The sequence below is a fragment of the Homo sapiens genome, chromosome 4, assembly GCF_000001405.40.
Source record: "Homo sapiens chromosome 4, GRCh38.p14 Primary Assembly".
Taxonomy (NCBI): domain Eukaryota; kingdom Metazoa; phylum Chordata; class Mammalia; order Primates; family Hominidae; genus Homo; species Homo sapiens.
In genome coordinates this window covers 28,078,548-28,100,024 of record NC_000004.12, presented here as the reverse complement: position 1 = coordinate 28,100,024, position 21,477 = coordinate 28,078,548, and the positions used below count along the sequence as shown (strand labels likewise).

Genomic DNA, 21,477 nt, shown 5'->3' with positions numbered 1-21,477 from the left:
GCACAAAGCTGAAACCTGTACATTATGAAAGATAAATATATGATAAAGGTGTTTTCTTTATTTAATATGAATGATGCTATTAAGAAATAATTTTGGCCTGGCGTGGTGGCTCACGCCTGTAATTCCAGCACTTTGGGAGGCAGAGGGGGGCAGAACATGAGGTCAGGAGATGGAGAACATCCTGGCCAACATGGTGAAACCCCGTCTCTATTAAAAATTCAAAAATTAGCTGGGCGTAAGGGTGCGTGCCTGCAATCCCAGATACTAGGGAGGCTGAGGCAGGAGAATCACTTGAACCAGGGAATCGGAGGTTGCAGTGAGCTGACATCGTGCCACTGCACTCCAGCCTAGCAACAGAGTGAGATTCTGTCTCAAAAAGAAAAAAAAAAGAAATATTTGTATATAATTTTGTCAAAATATTAAATTGTCTAATTTATATACATTAGACAATATTAGTAATAATCTTCATTATATTAATAGATCGAAGTAAAAGAGCAAAATCTAGGTCATCTTTACAGATGCTACAGAATCATTTGATCGTCTTTATACTTTCTTATTTTTAAAAGTAATCATAGTAGACTGTCTAGAGAAACCTCTATAACATAAGGTATAAAATGTTCACAAGCTAATTTATTAATTCAACACACTAATAAAAATTCTAATATCTTACTATAACTAGGCCAAATTATATTCAGACACATTTGAGAAAAAATTTATATCAGAATTATCAGAAAAATTATAAAAATAAGTAAGTAACAAGGAGGGATTTGTGTTATCGTGATATAAAATTATATTAAACTATGTTATTCTGTAAAGAATACATAGGCAGTTTTTAAACAAAATAGAACCTGAGAAAAACTCTGTGTTTGTGTGTGTGTGCATGTTCGCGTGTGTATAACTCTGTTTATGTGTATTGATTCATTTTAAACAAAATGATGGTATTTCAAGGTTATGTGACAAGGTGCAACATTGATCAAATGATATGTGGACATGGTTTTCTGTTTTAAATAAAATAACAACTACTGTCTCAAAAAAAAGCAACATGAGAATTAGCCAAAAAATATAGGTATACATTTATTATATATTACAGAGGAAGTTTTTTGCACAATGCCTAAAAAAAATTTCACATCATTTGATCACATAGATGTTTAAATGTGCACATTACAAAACAGTATATAAAATTGAAACATAAAAGCTATCACAAATTGAACATTAAGTCCATATATGCATATCTTGCTCAATATACCTTATATTAAAAAGAATAATAAATCAATAAAAAGAGAAAGAAACTCATAAAACTGAGCAAAAGTATTACTAGGCAATGTATAAAGAAGACATACAAATGCCGAGAGATATTTCCCCAATCCAATTTGCAAACATTGAAACATTGGATAAAGTTTCAACAATAGCAGGTGCAAGAAGAAATCAATAATTCTCTTTGCTGCTGCGGCAAGCATAGAATGATGTCATATTAGTGCATTTCTTGAAATAAATTGGTCAGTTTACATCAAACATAGTTTTTTAAAAAGGTAATTCTTCCCAGTTATCCTACATTTTAAAATTTTCTTTCTCATGGTAACCATAAATACATAAACATAATTACTATAGTTATTTAAGATAATAAAAGTATTAGAAAGAATTAAAATCTTGGCCATAGAAAATTGCAAAAATAAAATATGATTATTTATAAGATAAATTGATAGACGCATGTAATAATTGCAGATAATATTTGAACGTAAAAAGAAAGGTACCCACAATATGTTGGTAAATATGGCAATGCCTAATTTACATATATAGCCACATGTTAACACATGTGCACATAGCAAGGAAAAATACATTAACTCTGGAATACAGACTAATTTTAATTTTTCTGTTAGATTTTCTAAATTATTCAGATTTCTGTAATAATACACACTAATTTCATCATCAAAAACATTAAAGATCAATTTAAGTTATGAAAAATAATAAATTTAAGAGACCTGCTCTTCTCTTGGCATGCTAATCTGACCTTTTATTGCTTAATTTTTCTTTTCATTCCTCTATATAATAATTTCAGCATGCATTAACTTGTTCTTATATCTATATATATATGTAATATATAGTATATCTATATCTATCCTAAGTGAACTACAGTTGAAGGAAAAAAGCTGCCCTTCAATAATAATAAGCTTCCAATTTTCATATTTCTTGGTAATAACTCGATAATTGGCAAAATAGCAAGGAGGCCTCTGTAAGTAGCTACTCTCTAAGTTCTTTATCAGTCCTTTTATAGTCATCACATTGGTAAAGGTATAAAACTGCAAATCTGTGTTTTTCTTTCATATTGACATATGGCTGGAATTGAACAACATATGATATTTGCTTTCCTTGCTTCTAGAAGGTGGAAGCAACATGTAATTCTATATTTCAGGACTTGCATCTTTTATTGACTAGTTTATTGACAAAGAACAAATAACTCTGAATCCATTTCATATCTGAACGTGATTATTCTGGAAATGTTGCAAGAATTGATTGCATATAGCACTCTTTCTTGTTCTCTCTCTCAAGCTAGAGCTCTAATATAAAGTAAGACATATTTTCTTTTCAAGGGTCAATTCAGGGTTTTTCCAGGGAAAGCTCTGGAAATTGGTTCTTTGCTTATCTCAAATTAGCTATAAAAAAGATAAGATAGTTATACAACAAATAGATTCAAGAAACAGGACTTCAACAGCTAACACTAACCTTAATAAAAATGAAAAGAAAACAGAAAAGATCTTTCAGAACGAAAAGGAAATACTTCAGATATAAGCTAGAAATAAAGTTTTCCTTGATCCAACAGTTTTCAAATAAAGTCAAATTAACTCATTTAGCAATTGAAAATGTACTGCTTAAAAGGCCAAAATATAAAACAAAGAATAAAAATAATAGGACATCATTAATATTGAAAATAGAAAATCTTCTCCAACTTCATAAAACAATTTTGGGAGACTGTGATGTGCGTAATAGTATCATTATTTAATATATGCTGTGTATTATTTTATTTGAACATTTTCTGTTCTCCCTAATTAGCATGCAAATTCCATGAGGCAGTGAACTTGCCAATCTCTTAGTGATTACCAAATGCCTACTGAATGGCATAATTTACATATCTATATTCTAAATTGCTTTATTTTCAGTGCAAATTATTTGTAAAGTTGTATTATGAGATTTTTTAACGGTTTTGTGAGACTACCTCTCCTTAACCTTCAAATTTGTACAAAAGATCTATTTTATTCTTTATAAACTATTCACAGAAAGAAAAATGTCAGATTAACGTTGAAAATTTTAAAGGCCACTCTTAAGTCACTTGCTGAAAACACTTTGAATACACGAATTAATTATAAGTATTAGGAGATAACTAATATCACAAAAACATATCACTGAACTCCAAATTTATTTATTCTGTGGCAGAGATTCTCAAATATTGTTCTGGGGACTTCCAATGTGCCCACAGAAAACACATGCATGCTAGATGATGGTCAATTCACCTCTGGAGGTATCTAGGCACACCTGTACAAGTCTTATCAGTGTTACACGAATTGGGAAGGTTAGGGAGCACTGGTAAACGTCATTCCACCATGCCTATTAATAATACAATTAGGTACATCTGGCATGAGTGTTCTTACAGATTTTAAGCTGTACCCTTTTGATCAGTTTTCAAGTATTTATTCTCCCAAATCTTTTCTTTAACAAGTAGAGCTCTGGCCTTTAGGTTTTGATACATAAACCAGTGTAAGGTGTTGACCTGACTTCTGAATGTGGAGCAAAATGTAACACAAAACGTGTTTGGGGAACAGCAAAGTTAGGCAAACAAATCAACAAACAAAAAAACCAAACAAGTAGTTTGACAAAGGAGACAGTATTAAAGGGGAAGATGGAAAAATGCATACATTTATTTATGCAGATTAGAGAGGAATTTGATTTCTGGCTATACAACACTCCGGACAAAAGGCTGGGTTCGTTATCTTTGAAAATCCTGATATGGGGTCATCCTATTTGGTAATTACAGATCGGTAACTTAGTTCTGATTCTTCCCGCCTTTCCACTTGGAATGTACGCAGAAGGATAAGGAGAATAAAATCTTTAGAGCTAAGCCAGGAGACAATAGAAACATAAACTCCAAATTGCATGTACTTGTGGCCCAAAGCAACTGAGACCAGCAGAAATGAGACAGAAAGTGTGACAATGCACCCACAGGGAAAGGGGTGACAGAGGGACCTAACACAGTCAAAGACCAGAGACATTTGAATATATTCACAGTCAGAAAGAGCATTCGGTTCAGTGACAGGCTAGGCAGACAAGATTCATTGCTGTCTACTTTTGTCAATGAGCAATTTATATACATATATTTTTTCTAGCTATTACTTTTATTAGAAGGGTAGAACCTTAGCCTGGCTTAATAACACAGCTGAGTTTCAACTCTCTTCCTTGTATACCCAAAAACCTTATCTCCTTCTTCTATTGTGTTTAGGTCATCATCTTCAAGTTCAAATTGTGTTTTGTTTTAGTATGCTGAGGCTATCTTTTACTTTCTTGCAACTCAGTTTTTTATTTTAAAATGTTGTTGTTATATTGAATTGAATGTGTCTAATTGTTTTGCCTCCTGATATGGTTTGGTTCTGTGTCCCCACCCAAATCTCATCTCCAATTGTAATCCCCAGTGTTGGAGTTGGGAGGTGATCTGATCATGGGCAGGGGTTTCTCATAATTGGTTTAGCACCATCTCCTTGGTGCTATTCTCCTGATGGAGTTCTCAAAAGATCTGTTTGTTTAAAAGTGTGGAGCAGCTCCCCACTCTCTCTCTTACTCTAGTTTCTACCATGTGAGATGCCTTGATACCCCTTTGCCTTCCACCATGATTGTAAGTTTCCTGAGGCCAACCCAGAAGCCAAACAGATGCCAGCATCATGCCTCCCGTACACCCTGCAGAGCCATGAGCCAATTAAACCTCTTTCCTTTGTAAATTACCAAGTCTCAGGTATTTCCTCATAGCAATGGGAGAAAGAAATAATACACCTTGGTATATTATCTTAAATTTAAGCACATGACTCAAAAAGCATACATTTCATATAACTCACCATGAGGGAATCAGCTACATTAAGTCTAAAGTAGAACGTTAAAAAATTAATGGCTTAGAAATGAAAAGTTAAAAGGAGAAAAGCAAGCAGTTCTTGGAAACAATACTAGACCTACATGTGGTAAAGAAGGAAGGAACTCAAGTAGAATGTACGACTGTTTCAAAAATCTACTGAACCTTGCTGAAAGTATATGGAAATGCCAGAGAAAAATTAAATACTAAAGGTATATCTTAGAATATACTATTTAATCTCTGTGTCCCTCACTTTCTTCAAGAGAGAATTAGTAATAGCATCTAATTCTAGATTCTTAGGTTGTGAGAATAAATGTGATGAATGTGTGATATATATATGTGTGTGTGTGTGTGTATATATATACACATGTATATATGTGTGTATATATATACATGTATATATGTGTGTGTATATATATACACACATACACTATATATAATACACACATATACACTATATATAGTACACATATACACTATATATAATACACACATTCACACTATACTATAATACACGCATACACACATACACTATAATACACACATACACACATACATACACACATACACACTATACATACACTATACATACATACACACATACATACACACATACACACTATACTATAATTCACACATACACACTATATATAATACATACACACTATATATAATACACACATACACACACTATATATATACACATACACACTATATATATATACACACGTATATATGTGTGTATATATATAAATGTATATATGTGTGTATATATGTATACACACATACACACACTATATATAATATATAGGTGCTATTGTTTTTATTATTGTTGTTTTCCCATCATACTTGCCTTAAAGTAAATAATTTTATTGACATACCACTTGTGAGTAGACATTTTCAGTCCTAGGCCATATTTGTTTCTTCCACTGGCTTCTGCTATAAAATAACTCAGGCTCAGGAAACCCACCTTTTGGGAAAGTTATCTCAGTTTTTTAAAATAAAAAATGGACTTTATCTGTTATTGATGATTCTGAAACCTGTACCTTCTAGTAGCTTAGTGGGAAGCAGTGTATCTGCCATTTTCTCCCCAAACGTAGATTGTTGTTCCTTGGATAGTAAATGTCCCAAGTTTTCAAGAGCATTTGTTTCTTCTCTCTATAGATAGGTAGATAGATAGATAGATAGATAGATAGATAGATAGATAGATAGATACATAGATAGATAGAGTTATATAGATAGATAGATATATTGTTTTCTTCTTCTTTTAGTGAATGATAGAGCTGGAGGATAATCTCATATAGTCTGATGCTAGAATTAAGTACTTAAAAGTACTTATTGCACTATGGAGAATGACATACCATAATTGAGTCAACTATCAAGTGTATATTTATATGAATCCACTTATCTCCTTAAAGTTTGAAATTAATCAGTGTGATCAATTCCCTACACTGATCTTGACCTTCTTGTGTGACTCCACAGATGTATTTTAAATAAAAACAAACGGAAAGGACCACAGCTCCAATAAATACAAAGACATTTACCAGGCAACACATGATTTGTGTCAACTGCTCCTAATGTTTTTGACAAATCGCAAATTACCTGCAGACAAGCAAACAGATGCTTCAAAATGGACCCGTGACAAATGATAAATGACAAAAATGTTAGGCCAAATCACATGCAATCACACACCTGCTATTGAATTAGCTCTGAGTAAATAAGGTAAAGTTTTGTAGAAAGAGAACAGAAGACCAGTCCTCTGTCATTGTGTCACTCTTTGCATTTAATAACAGACACCAGACTGTGAGGTATCTTCACTTTTACAGAAACTTCTTCCTGGTGCTCTGGAATAACATCCCTAAAAAAAGAACAAAAACAAAGAAAACTGATTAATATGATTAGGCTTCATTTAGTGTACTAAATTTCCTGTTCTATAACTAAATACTTCAATGTTTTTCTTCCCACTATGGTTTAAGTCCATGATGACAGACTGTATCTGACTTTTTATTGTTTTCTCTTTTATGTCTAGCACAACACTGGCATATAGTAGGCAATCAATAAATATTTGTTGAATGAAAGAATGTATGAGTCACAAGAGCACAATAAATGTTTGCTGAATGAATGGATATCCAACAGAAAAGTGTTCTGCAGCAAAATAGGAACATTCTCATATTTCCAAATATTGTCTATGAATCATAAGTTTACCTAAAATCTGAATAATCAAGAAAATGAATCATCTTTATCAGTGTCTCTGTCCATTCTTCCAACTTATCACTTTCTTATTAGAGATGGTCTCGTTTCCTTCTCTTCATGCTTTGGGCAAACTGGTATTGTTTCACTTGACCTAATACTTAGAACTTTTAAGGCTTGTTTAAAGTTCAAATACTTAGAGTCTTAAAACTTTAAGACTTGTCCTTGTTTTTAGGCTCAGCACAGTCTCATGAATGCTTTATGTTATTGTAATAATAAGCAACTCAGTACACAAATGCATGAAAGATCTAAAGTAATCCTCTGGATATTGTACATAGCAAAGGAGCAGCACAAAATAATTGGTATAGTTTTTACTAAAGTGAAATCAGATAATACATAGGGATTATGTATAAGAATGAGTGAATAATCAATCACTAATTATCTAATGGTGCAAGATGTTTTTCTGATTACAATGAAATACACTGCCCCACACTCTTTTGCAACTTTACTGAATCCAATTTTTAGAGTTTTGCACTAAAAGAAAGTCATAGAAAGTCAGAGGAAAAGGTGAGGATAGAGAGACATATAAATGAAATAGCAGCAATAAAATTGCAATCTGCATGGAATTTATCTAGAAATATGTTTAAACCACATTAAGCAAGTAGTAGAACCTATAGATGTATTCTCTCAGGAACTTCAATAAATTAATTTGCCGAAGCCTCAGTCTCCTCTTTTGTAAATTGAGAGTGATAATAAATCCTCTAACACATGATTTCTTGGGGAAAGAGGATACTGGAAATGCAATTTATTCACCTTAGATTTTCAGCAGATTTCTGCAGAGTTGTTTGAACTTGCCAGTTTCAATTGTTTTCTATTTAAAACCATTGTAATCAGGTGTACGCCCCCCCACCTTTCCATCAATATTGGAAAAGGTCCCTAATGATGATTTCCACAATGCTAAATTTAGTAGTAAACTGTCTTACATGATGTCTCAGTAGATTTAGACACATTTCATTAGTGCTTCTTAAAATATGTTTTTTACTGTTATAGAAAGAGACTCATCTATCTGCTTTTTTTCCTTATCTCACTGACTGCTTCTCAATCTCAGTTGCACCATTTTTCTTATCCTCCGTAACATTTTCTTTACGTTGAAGATTAGAGCTCAGTTCTTAGACTTCTTTTCTTTGTTACCAGCATTACTTCTCAGTACGAGTTTGCCCACTCATGACTTTGATTTATTCTATAATCTGAAAATTTGAATAGGTGTACACCCAACTTTGGCTACTTCCCAGAAGTCCAGGTTTATATCTTCAACTGCCTATCAGGCACTTCATTTGAATATATAATAGATATCTCCAAATTAACATGTCTAATCATGCCTTCTAAACTTGTTTAACCTACAGATTAAACAAGTCTCCCATTTTAGTAATTGCCAACTCAATTCTATTTACTCACCTCAAAAGTGCAGAATAATGCTTGCATGTTCTCTTTATATTATGTTCCCATTCCAAATTTACCATTTCTAATGATATTTGTCCAAAATGATTCTGCTACAAACTTGATTCCAGCCCCTGTCATCATATTTCCAGCTAGATTTTAAAAGTCTCCTCCCAATTTTTCCCACTAATGCAATTGTTTTTTATTATTCTTTTCTTCACAAAGTAGACATATGATACTTTTAAAACAGTATAAATTACATCCTATCATTTCCTTTTTAGTACTTACCAACATGTTATTATCTTAACCTTAGTAAGAACTAAAATCCTGACAATAATCCATAGCACCTTCTCATGGCACTGTGATTCTTTATCTCTAACACCAACCTCATATCATAAAAATCTAATCCTACAGATTCTAACCCAACCATTCTCTTCCTGGATTTTTATCAACCTCCTACCTCTGAGTATTTGTATCTGCTAATACTTGCACATTTGTCTACCTGGAATACTGTGCTCCGAGACATCTGCATAGTTTTCTTCCTTGTCTCCTTCAGGACTTGACCAGCATGTTTGGTCCTTTGCTGAAATATCATCTTGTATGAAATGCAGTTTACTCTTTCATTCCCCTGAAGATGTCTTGATTTGAGTTTTAATTATTAAAAAATCAGACTTGAAGGAAAAGAATTAGAAATAGTTAGATTATCTGAAAGTTAAACCAAGGAAACAGAAATGACAGAACAGAAAAAAGTGAGGAAGATAGGAAGAAAGAGGGAAAGATAAAAGCTGGTATAGCATATATTAACATTACAGTTGTGGAAATTCCAGTTTTTACATACAGGTCAGAATTATTTCATTAGGTACTGGAAAGAACGGTGCATGTAACCACAAGGCTCCACCTCCTATTGGTTGAGAGTTGTCCTCAGAGATGATAATAACTCCACGACTCATACCTGTCACTGAGGCTTGAAAGACTCAAACAGCTAAAAAATAGAACGGCTGGGACTCTTCAGGTATTTTCTTGTTTCTCTTGGTCTTCCCAGTATGGCAGTTTCAGGGAAGTTAAACTTTTTACAGGGTATCTCAGAGCTCCAAATGTATGTGTAGAGGAAGAGTGAAAGAGAGAGAGAGAGAGAGAGAGAGGAAGAGATCCAGCCTCTGAAGTCAAATAGTAACACCTCTGCTTTATTTTGTTGGTTGTGACAATCACAGCCTTCTCTGTGTTATTTTGGGTTTTTCAAATTTTTCTTTTAGATAATTGTTCAATTCCATGCAGTTGTAAGAAATAACACTGAGAAATAATGTGTATACTATGCCCTCTGTTAATGGTAACATTTTGCAGAACCATATTGTAATATCACAACTAGGATAATGACATTGGTGTAATCCACTGATTTTATTCAGATTTCCTCAGTTTTACTTGCACTCATTTGTATGTGTGTGTGTGTGTGTATTAAGTTCTATGTAATTTTATCACCTGTGTTTGTTCCTGTATCTACCATCACAGTAAAGATTCTGAACCGACTCAACACAACCAGGATACTTCAAATTATGCTTTTCATAACCACACCCATCTCTCTCTTTCTCCATCTCTGACCACTCTCTTCTCTATTTCTAAAATTTTGTCATTTTTGAAATGCTACCTAAAAATGTACATCAATGGAATCATACAGTATATATCTTTATCACTCACCATAATTACTAGGGGATTTATTCTAATTATTGAGTGCCTCATTAGATTAGTTACCTTATTTTGCCAAGTAGCATTCCATGGTATGTATGTTCCACCTAATGAAAGATATGTAGGTTGATTCTAAAGTTTAGTTGCTACAAATAAAGCTGCTATAAACATTCATATACAAGTTTTTGTGTCAACATAAGTTATCATTTTTTGGAGGATAAATGCCCAGGAGTGCAATTGCTAGGTCTGACAGAAATTGAAAGTTTAGTTTCATAGGGAACACCAAACTGGTTGGTTCCTAGAGTGGCTATAGTAGCAATGTATGAGTGATTCAGTTTCTTTAAATCCTCACCAAAATTTTTTGCTATCACTATTTTTTTAAACAGCCATTCTGATAAGTGTATAGTGATCTCATGTGATTTTTATTCATACTTCCCTGATGGGTGAAGACGTTGAACATATTTTCATCTGTTTATGTGACTTTGGCAAAATCTCTATTCATGACTTTTGCCCATTTTCTATTTAGTTTGCCTTTTTTCACTGTTGAATTTTCTTTATATATTCTAGATGCTAGCTCTTTTTGCTTATGAGGATATATTAATGTTGTTTTATTACTCTAATATTTCCTATTTTCAGTTTCACAGATCTTGTTCTTATCTTTTATCCTTCTTTCTTGCTTTGGTTTTTTTCTTTCTTGCATTTTGCTTTTTTTCCTAGTTCTTGAGTTAGAAACAGCTTATTGCTTTGTGATCTTTTCTGATTTTTAACATAATAATTTAATGCAATGCATTCCAATCAGCCCTGCTTTTGTTGCATCCCACACATTGTGATATGGTGCAATTTCATTTTAGTTCAGTTGCTAAAAATCTCCTTTGAGTCTTCCACTTTAATCCATGGATTATTTAGAAGTGCATTTGTTTACTTTTTATTATTATTGTTATTATTGTACTTTAAGTTTTAGCGTACATGCGCACAATGTGCAGGTTTGTTACATATGTTTACGTTTTTTTGTGGCTCAAGATAGAATAATGTTTTTTCTTGGTGTATGTGTCATGGGAACTTGAAAAAAAGTGCATTGTGTTGTTAGGTAGAGTATTCTACATGAGTCAATTAGATCATGTTGGTAGCATATGTTGTTCAGATGGTCTATATTCTTACATAATTTTTATGTAGTAATTCTATTAGTTGCTGAAATGTGGGTGTTGAAGTTTCCAATTCTACTTGAAAAATTTGTCTATTTCTTTTTTTCTTCTAGTTTTAAGGAGGGTAGTGGAAGCAAAGATAGTATTCTCAGTGGAAGACGTGTCAGCAAAATACGTAGGAATAATACATAAGCTGGGGTATATATCTCTCTATTTATACCTATGTAGAATATCTATATCTTTATATTTTACCTGTCTACCTGTAGCCATCATTGGGAAATACAATTTTACGCAACTATTAACAGTAGCCTGGACACTAATTTTATGTAAGATGTACCACTGTAAATCTTAGCCACAAACAATAACGTAGCTACTCAGATACGCTGGTTTCAATCTTAGTAGTGTGTTTTTAATTTCCCCAGTTAAGAGACTGTCATCTGGGAACTTAGACATGTAATGGGTACTTTGGTTTCATGTAAAGCATTCACTCTAAATGACCATCTCTTTGAGCCTTCTGACACACAAAAGAATTATTTAATATTAATGATGCTACAGCTTACCGGGAGTTACCATCTCTCCACATACCATTGGCAATGGTGTCTTTGATGCAATCCAACAAGTAAACGTTTTTACACTTGAATACCACCCTAAAGCTCTTATCTGAAAGACCACTTCCAGTATGATCTCTCTTAATTTTGGTTATCTCAAAAGCCTACCTAAGGTAAGGATTTAAATGCAGGTAATACATTTTGATGGGGAACCCACTGAACAGAAGTGAAAAATAAGAGAAAGTAAAGTAGAGGAAGAAAAAAAGCCACAAAATGTGCATTAATGTAATGTTAATAACGAAGATTATGAAGACATGTGTAGAATATGTCTGAGAATTGACCCTCATTTGCTCTTAGAAATGAAGTATAATTGTATTAAATTTAACTGCATAACTTAGCATTAAAACTCTTAAATATTAGCACATTTATCTATCTAACATACTTTCTCATTATAATTTAATATTAATAAATATTTTTATTGTTTATTAATATTAGTAAACAATAAATTAATTAATTAATAAAACAAATAACAATTTGTTTTAAATTTGTGAATAACATTCTCCTTTCTAAAAATTACTTTGTCCAGGTTTTAGCTTTTGAAAAGTCCTACTTATCATTCAAGGTCCTAAGAAATTTTATCCTTTTCCCTGGATTATTCTTTTTCCTATTTTTTTGTTCCACACTTGATTGATTTAGAGTTCATAATTCCCCTCTTTGAACTACCACTCTGATTTCTATATAACACTATATTAAGTTTGTATTTTAACCATATGTAGCACAATTACTTGTTCATTTGTTTATTTTAATAAATTGTGATATGCAGCATGACAATTTTTTTTTTGTATAGCTATGCATTATTTTGGAGAGAAGGACAAAAAATCAATGACATAGTTAACCTATCACAGTACTCCAGCATCTAGAAGAGTTCTTGTCATTTATAAACTCCATTTGTTTCAGGTAAGTGAACAAATGAGACAATAGCCTAGTTGGGGATGTAATTGGAGCCCTGAGCCAAGCCACGCAGCAACCTTTAGAATCTGGAAAACGCAAAAAAAAAAAAAAAAAAAAAAAAAAAACAGACTCTCTTGTAGAGCCTCCAGCCCTGATGTCACCTTGAATTTAGTTCCAAAAGATGGATTTTAGACTTCTAACCTCCAGAACTGTAAAATTACAAATGTATGTTGTTTAAAGCCCCTAAGTTTATGGTAATTTGTTACAAGAGCAATAGGAAACTAGTACAGTCTCTTTACTTCTCTCTTCTCTTTCTCGTCCTCCTGTTATGTGTATGTTGGCGTGCCTAGTACAGTCTCACGTTTCTCTAAGGCTCTGTTTATTTTCTTTCACTTGTTTTCCCCTCTGTTCTTTACATTGCATAGATATATCTTAAACTATGCCGGTTGGTTCTGCTGGTAGTGAAATGTATTGTTGAGTCTCTCCAGTGAACTTCTTCATTTCAATCATTGTACTTTTAAACTCAATTTCTATTTGATTCTTTATTATAGTTTCTACCTCTTTATTAATATTCTATACTGGTGAGACTTTGTCATCATATTTTCCTTTTCTTCTTTATTCATGGGTTCTTTCATTTCATTGAAATAATAGCTACCTTAAAATTGTTTTCTATTATGTCAAACACTGTAGACATGTCACAGGCAGTATTGTTGCCTGCTTGTTTTTCTATGTGTAGGTCACACTGTCTTGTTTCTTTTCCTGTCTTATAATTTTTTGTGAAAACTGAATATTTTAGATAACATACTGTTGCAACTATGGATACCTCCCCTCTGCCCCAATTCTACCTCAAGGCTTGTTATTGTTGTTGTTGCTTATTTCTTTAGTAACTTGGCTGAAGTATTTTAGTGAAGTCCATTTCCCCTGCAATGTGAACTATCTGGTATTGCTCCTCAGAAGGTGCAGTCTTAGGATTCAGTTAGTTACCCTAGGATGACTGGTTTTTAGAGGGCTCTCTTTGTCTCTTTCCCTAATCTCGCTTTGCAGCTATCTGCCTTTTCAGGTATCATACTCAGATGTCAAGCTCTGATATTTGCCCAGTGATTCCTCTGTTGTTTTTAACAATGTCTTGGAACATATATTGAGCTGCAGTTAAATGTGGGTCCCTTTGCAGGGGGAGTTTTTGAGAACGGTCTTTGAAGTTCATTAGGACCCCAGAGGGCACCTCCTTACATACTTTAATCTTGCCCAAAAGGTTTCTCTGTACATAGTGAGCTATAACCTAAATGGAGGTGTAAACACACCGTATGCTACTCTTATGGCAATCACTGAGTTTTGGCCAATTAAAAGGACCTGGTATGGTTTGGCTCTGTCCCCACCCAAATCTCATCTTGAATTGTAGTTCCCATAATTCCCATGTGTTTTGAGAGGGACCCAGTGGGAGGTAACTGAATCATGGAGGGGGCCTACTCTCATGGTGCTGTTCTTGTGACAGTGAGTGAGTTCTCAGGAGATCTGATGGTTTTATACGGGGCTTTTCTCCCTTTTGCTCTGTACTTCTCCTTCCTGTCCCCATGTGAGGAAGGATATATTAGCTTCCCCTTCTGCTGTGATTGCAAGTTTCCTGAGGCCTCCCCTGTCATGCTGAATTGTGGGTCAATTAAACCTCTTTTCTTTATAAATTACCCAGTCTTGGGTGTCTTTAAAAGCAGTGTAAGAATGGACTAAAATTGGTACCAGTAGAGTGGGGTGCTGCTGTAAAGATACCTGAAAATGTGGAAGCTACTTTGCAACTGGGTTACAGGAAGAGGTTGAACCAGTTTGAAGTGCTCAGAAGAAGACAGGAAAATGGGGGAAAGTTTGGAACCTCCTAGAAACTTGTTGAATAGCTTTGACCAAAGTGCTGATAGTGATAGGAACAATGAAGTCCAGGCTAAGGGGGTTTCAGATGGAGATGGGGACCTGGAGTAAAGGTTGCTCTTATGCAAAGAGACTGGTTGCATTTTGCCCCTGCCCCAGACATCTATGGAACTTTTAAATTGAGAGAGATGATTTAGGGTATCTGGTGGAAGACATTTCTAAGTGGCAAACCATTGAAGTGGGAGCAGGACATAAAAGTTTGGAAAATTTGCAGCCTGATGATGTGATAGAAAAGAAAACTCCATTTTCTGCAGAGAAATTCAAGCTGGCTGCAGAAATTTACATAAGTAATGAGGAGCTGAATGTTAATCACTAAGACAATGGGGAAAATGTCTCCAGGGCATGTCCTAGACCTTGATAGCAGCCTCTCTCATCAGAGGCCCCTAGGCCTAGGAGGGAAAAATGGATTCCTGGACTGGGTCCAGGACCTGCCCTGCTGTGTGCAGCCTTGGGACTTGGTGCCCCTATAACAAATTGCTCCAGCCATGGCTAAAAGGGGCCAACATACAGCTCAGGCTGTGGGTTCAGAGAGTGCAAGCTCAAAGCCTTGGCAGCTTCCACCTGGTATTGGGCCTGTGGATATGAAGAAGTCAAGGATTGAGGTTTGGGGACCTCTGCCTAGATTTCAGAGGTTGTATGTAAAAGCTTGGATGTCCAGGCAGAAGTCTGCTGCAGGGGCAGAGCCCTCATGAAGAACCTCTAATAGGGCAGTGCAGAAGGGAAATGTGGAGTCAGAGCCCCCACACTGAGTCCTCACTGGGAGACTGCCTAGTAGAGCTGTGAGAAGAGGGCCACCATCCTCCAGACACCAGAATGGCAAATCCACTGACAGCCTGCACTGTGTCCCTGGAAAAGCTGCAAACACTCAATGCCATCCCATGAAAGCAGCCAGGAGTGGGGCTGTATCCTGCAGAGCCATAGGAAGAGCTGCCCAAGGCCATGGAAATCCACCTCTTGCATCAGCATGACCTGGATGTGAGACATGGAGTCAAAAGAGATAATTTTGGAACTTTAAGGTTTAACTACTGCCCTATTGGATTATGGACTTTCATGGAGCCTATAGCTACTTATTTTGGTCAATTTCTCCCATTTGGAATGGCTGTATTTACCCAATGCCTGTGTCCCCATTGTATCTAATAAGTAACCAAGTTGCTTTTGTTTTTATAGGCTCATAGGCAGAAAAGACTTGCCTTGTCTAAGATGAGACTTTGGACTTGGTCTGTTGGGTTAGTACTGGAATGAGTTAAGACTTTGGGGGACTGCTGGGAAGGCATGATTGATTTTGAAATGTAAGGGCATGAGATTTTGGAGGGTCCTTGGTGGAATGATATGGTTTGGCTGTATCTCCATTCAAATATCATCTTCAATTTTAGTTCCCATAATCCTCATGTGTTGTGGGAAGGACTTGGTGAGAGGTAATTGAATCATGGTGGTGGTTGCTCCCATGCTGCTCTTCTCATGATACTGAGTAAGTTCTCACAATATCTGATAATTTTATAAGGGTTTTTCTCCCTTTTGCTCTGCACTTCTCCTTGCTGCTCCATGTGAAGAAGGACATCTTAGCTTTCCCTTCTGCCAAGATTGTAAGCTTCCTGAAGTCGCCCAGCAATATTATACTGTGAGTCAATTAAACCTATTTTCTTTATAAATTACCCAATCTTGGCTACGTCTTTATTAGCAGTGTGAGAATGGACTAATACAGTGGCCACCTCTTCAAATACTGTTCAGATAAGACAAATGCTTAGTTATAACCAATCTAGCCATTTCTGTACTTCACTTCCATTCTCTGTAGTCACTTTCCTTTTTCTGTCTATAAATCTTCCAACAAGTTGTTGTGCTAGTGTCTCTGAGCCAACTCTTGTTCAGGAGGCTGCCCAATTTATGAATCATTCTTTGCTCAATTATTCTGTGTTCAGTTGAACTCAGCTAAGGTTTTCTTTTAACACTGGTAAACTGTCAGGCTTTGATGGTGGCTGTCACAGGGCCCCTGGCCTCCTCCTAATTGCTCACAACCCACCAAAGTCTCTACTCTTTTGGGAAGTACTCTTATGCTTGAACTTCATACATTTTTCCCAAATAAAGCTAGTTTCCATAGATATAGTTACAGATATCTGCGTTTTAATGTCCTCTTTCCCTTGGCAACATGTCTGGCCATGTTCTCTGGACTCGTGTCTATAACAGTGGCCTGCTTATCCTCAGAATGACACACTCACTTTATTTCCAGGACACTGGAAAGGGGCAGTAGCCTCTGGATTTCTTGGCTTTTCTCTTCCAGTGTGGATGCTTATCCCTGTGAGTGAGTTGAGGTGAGGATAATCTGAGCCCCAGTGTTCTTGGCCTGCAATCCCTGGGGTAAGGCCTCCATACCATGAATGGGTGCTGGGTGGAGGAGAAAGCCCCTGATAGTCTGATCACACTTTCCTGGACTTTAGCCTTTCTTATACAGAGCTGTAGAGGAGGCATAAAAAATGCAGATGACTTCTCTTTCTTGCACTTTAGGAAGAGGGATTCCTATCATATGGGCTGTACCTGCCCTTCACAGGGGAATTTCCATCATGCTGAGTCGAGGATGGGATAAATAAGTTGAGGATGGGATAAATAAGACTCATGCCAGGGACTCTCCCTGCTCTTACCACTGAGATTTAGTAGATTATCTTTCACAAATATGTCTTCATTTTTGCATATCATTAAGGTGATTTCCATTTTTTTATTTTATTATACTTTAAGTTCTAGGGTACATGTGCACAACGTGCAAGTTTGTTACATATGTATATATGTGTCGTGTTGGTTTGCTGCACCCACTAACTCATTGTTTACATTAGGTATATCTCCTAATGCTATCCCTCCCCCCTCCCCCCACCCCACGACAGGCCCTGGTGTGTGATGTTCCCCACCCTGTGTCCAAGTGTTCTCATTGTTCAATTCCTACCTATAAGTGAGAACATGTGGTGTTTAGTTTTCTGTCCTTGTGATACTTTGCTCAGAATGATGGTTTCCAGCTTCATCCATGTTGCTACAAAGGACATGAACTCATCCTTTTTTATGACTGCATAGTATTCCATGATGTATATGTGCCACATTTTCTTAATCCAGTCTATCATTGATGGACATTTGGGTTGGTTCCAACTCTTTGCTATTGTGAATAGTGCCACACTAAACATATGTGTGCATGTGTCTTTTAGTATCATGATTTATAATACTTTGGTTATATACCCAGTAATGGGATTGCTGGGTCAAATGGTATTTCTAGTTCTAGATCCTTGAGGAATCGCTACACCATCTTCCACAATGGTTGAACTAACTTACACTCCCACCAACAGTGTAAAAGCATTCCTGTTTCTCCACATCTTCTCCAGTACCTGTTGTTTCCTGACTTTTTAATGATCACCATTCTAACTGGTGTGAGATTGTATCTCACTGTGGTTTTGATTTAAATTTCTCTGATGATCAGTGATGAAGAGCATTTTTTCATGTGTCTGTTAGCTGCATAAATTTCTTCTTTTGAGAAGTGTCTGTTCATATATTTTGCCAAATTTTTGATGGGGTTGTTTGATTCTTTCTTGTAAATTTGTTTAAGTTCTTTGTAGATTCTGAATATTAGCCCTTTATCAGATGGGTAGATTGCAAAAATTTTCTCCCATTCCATAGGTTGCCTGTTCACTCTGACTGTAGTTTCTTTTGCCGTGCAGAAGCCCTTGAGTTTAGTTAGATCCCATTTGTGTATTTTGGCTTTTGTTGCCATTGCTTTTGGTGTTTTAGTCATGAAGACTTTGTCCATGCCTATGTCCTGAATGGTATTGCCTAGGTTTTCTTGTAGGATTTGTATGGTTTTAGGTCTAACATTTAAGTGTTTAATCCACCTTGAATTAATTTTTGTATGAGGTGTAAGGAAGGGATCCAGTTTCAGCTTTCTACATATGGCTAGTCAGTTTTCCCAGCACTATTTATTAAATAGGGAATCCTTTCCCCATTTCTTGTTTTTGTCAGCTTTGTCAAGGATCAGATGGTTGTAGATGTGTGGTGTTATTTCTGAGGCCTCTGTTCTGTTCCATTGGTCTATATCTCTGTTTTGGTACCAGTACCATGCTGTTTTGGTTACTGTAGCCTTGTAGTATAGTTTGAAGTCAGGTACTGTGATACCTCCAGCTTTGTTCTTTGGCTTAGGATTGCTTTGGCAATGCGGGCTCTTTTTTGGTTCCATATGAACTTTAAAGTAGTTTTTTCCAATTCTGTGAAGAAAGTCATTGATACCTTGATAGGGATGGCATTGAATTCATAAATTACCTTGGGCAGTATGGCCATTTTCACAATATTAATTCTCCCTATCCGTGAGCACTGAATGCTCTTCCATTTGTTTGTGTCTTCTTTTATTTCGTTGAGCAGTGGTTTGTAGTTTTCCTTGAAGAGGTCCTTCACATCCCTGGTAAGCTGGATTCCTAGGTATTTTATTCTCTTTGTAGCAATTGTGAATGGGAGTTCCCTCATGAATTGGCTCTATGTTTGTTATTGGTGTATAAGAATGCTTATGATTTTTCCACATTGATTTTGTATCCTGAGATTGCTGAAGTTGCATATCAGCTTAAAGAAATTTGGGGCTGATATGATGGAGTTTTCTAAATATACAATCATGTCATCTGCAAACAGGGACAATTTGAATTCCTCTTCTCATAATTGAATACCTTTTATTTCTTTATCTTGCCTGATTGCCCTGGCCAGAATTTCCAACACTATGTTGAATAGGAGTGGTGAGAGAGGGCATCCCTGTCTTGTGCCAGTTTTCAAAAGGAATGTTTCCAGTTTTTGCCCATTCAGTATGATACTGGCTGTGGCTTTGTCATAAATAGCTCTTATTATTTTGAGAAACATTCCATCAATACATAGTTTGTTGAGAGTTTTTAGCATGAAGGCTGTTTAATTTTGTCAAAGGCCTTTTCTGCATCTATTGAGATAATCATGTGGTTTTTGTCTTTGGTTCTGTTTATGTGATGGATTACATTTATGGATTTGCATATGTTGAACCAGCCTTGCATCCCAGGGATGAAGTCAACTTGATCTTGGTGGATATGCTTTTTGATGTGCTGCTGGATTCAGTTTGCCAGTATTTTATTGAGAATTTTTGCATCAATGTTCATCAGGGATATGGGTCTAAAATTCTCTCTTTTTGTTGTGTCTCTGCCAGGCTTTGGTATCAGGATGATGCTGGCCTCATGAAATCAGTTAGGGAGGATTCCCTCTTTTTCTATTGATTGGAATATTTTCAGAAGGAATGGTACCAGCTCCTCTTTGTACCTCTGTAGAATTCAGCTGTGAATCCTCCTTGTCCTGGAGTTTTTTTGGTTGGTAGGCTATTAATTATTGCCTCAATTTCAGAGCCTATTATTGGTCTATTCAGTGATTCAACTTCTTCCTGGTTTAGTCTTGGGAGGGTGTATGTGTCCGGGGATTTATCCATTTTTTTTTCTAGATTTTCTAGTTTGTTTGCATAGAGGTGTTCATAGTATTCTTTGATGGTAGTTTGTATTTCTGTGGGGTTGGTGATGATATCCCCTGTATCATTTTTTATTGCATCTATTTGATTCTTCTTTCTTTTCTTCTTTATTAGTCTTGCTAGTGGTCAATCAATGTTGTTGATCAGAAAAACCAGCTCCTGGATTCGTAGATTTGTTGAAGGGTTTTTTTGGTCTCTATCTCCTTCAGTTCTGCTCTGACCTTAGTTATTTCTTACCTTCTGCTAGCTTTTGAATTTGTTTGCTCCTTTCCATGTTTAGTGCTTCTTTCAGGAGCTCTTGTAGGGCGGGCCTGGTGGTGACAAAATCTCTCAGCATTTACTTGTCTGTAAAGGATTTTATTTCTCCTTCACTTATGAAGCTTAGTTTGGCTGGATATGAAATTCTGGGTTGAAAATTCTTTTCTTTAAGAATGTTGAATATTGGCCCTCACTCTCTTCTGGCTGGTAGGGTTTCTGCCGAGAGATCTGCTGTTAGTCTGATGGGCTTCCCTTTGTGGGTAACCCGACCTTTCTCTCTGGCTGCCCTTAGCATTTCTTCCTTCATTTCAACCTTGGTGAATCTGACAATTATGAGTCTTAGCATTGCTCTTCTTGAGGAGTATCTTTGTGGTGTTCTCTGTATTTCCTGAATTTGAATGTTGGCCTGCCTTGTGAGGTTGGGGAAATTCTCCTGGATAATATCCTGAAGAGTGTTTTCCAGCTTCATTCCATTCTCCCCATGATTCTCAGGTACACCAGTCAAATGTAGATTTGGTCTTTTCACATAGTCCCATATTTGTTGGAGGCTTTGTTCATTTCTTTTTACTTTTTTTTCTCTAAGCTTCTTGCTTCATTTCATTCATTTGATCTTCAATCACTGATACCCTTTCTTCCACTTGATTGAATCGACTACTGAAGCTTGTGTATGCATCACCTAGTTCTCGTGCCATGGTTTTCTGCTCCATCAGGTCATTTAAGGTATTCTCTACACTATTTATTCTAGTTAGCCATTCGTCT

At 35.7% G+C, this 21,477-nt stretch overlaps 1 long non-coding RNA gene across 1 annotated transcript in view, besides 1 other annotated feature; it reads left to right on the top strand.

The window, feature by feature from the left end:
* Positions 1–21,477, top strand: part of LOC105374553 (uncharacterized) — an 84,694-nt gene that overhangs the window by 8,926 nt on the left and 54,291 nt on the right. The gene's annotated exons all lie outside the window — the stretch shown is intronic.
* Positions 17,218–17,385: a silencer, noted in NCBI's record as "fragment chr4:28084262-28084429 (GRCh37/hg19 assembly coordinates)". NCBI's record gives its function as "represses an EF-1alpha promoter that drives an FKBP-Casp9 reporter gene in an ReSE screen in HepG2 liver carcinoma cells {active_cell/tissue: HepG2}" and the evidence as "EXISTENCE:reporter gene assay evidence [ECO:0000049][PMID:32094911]".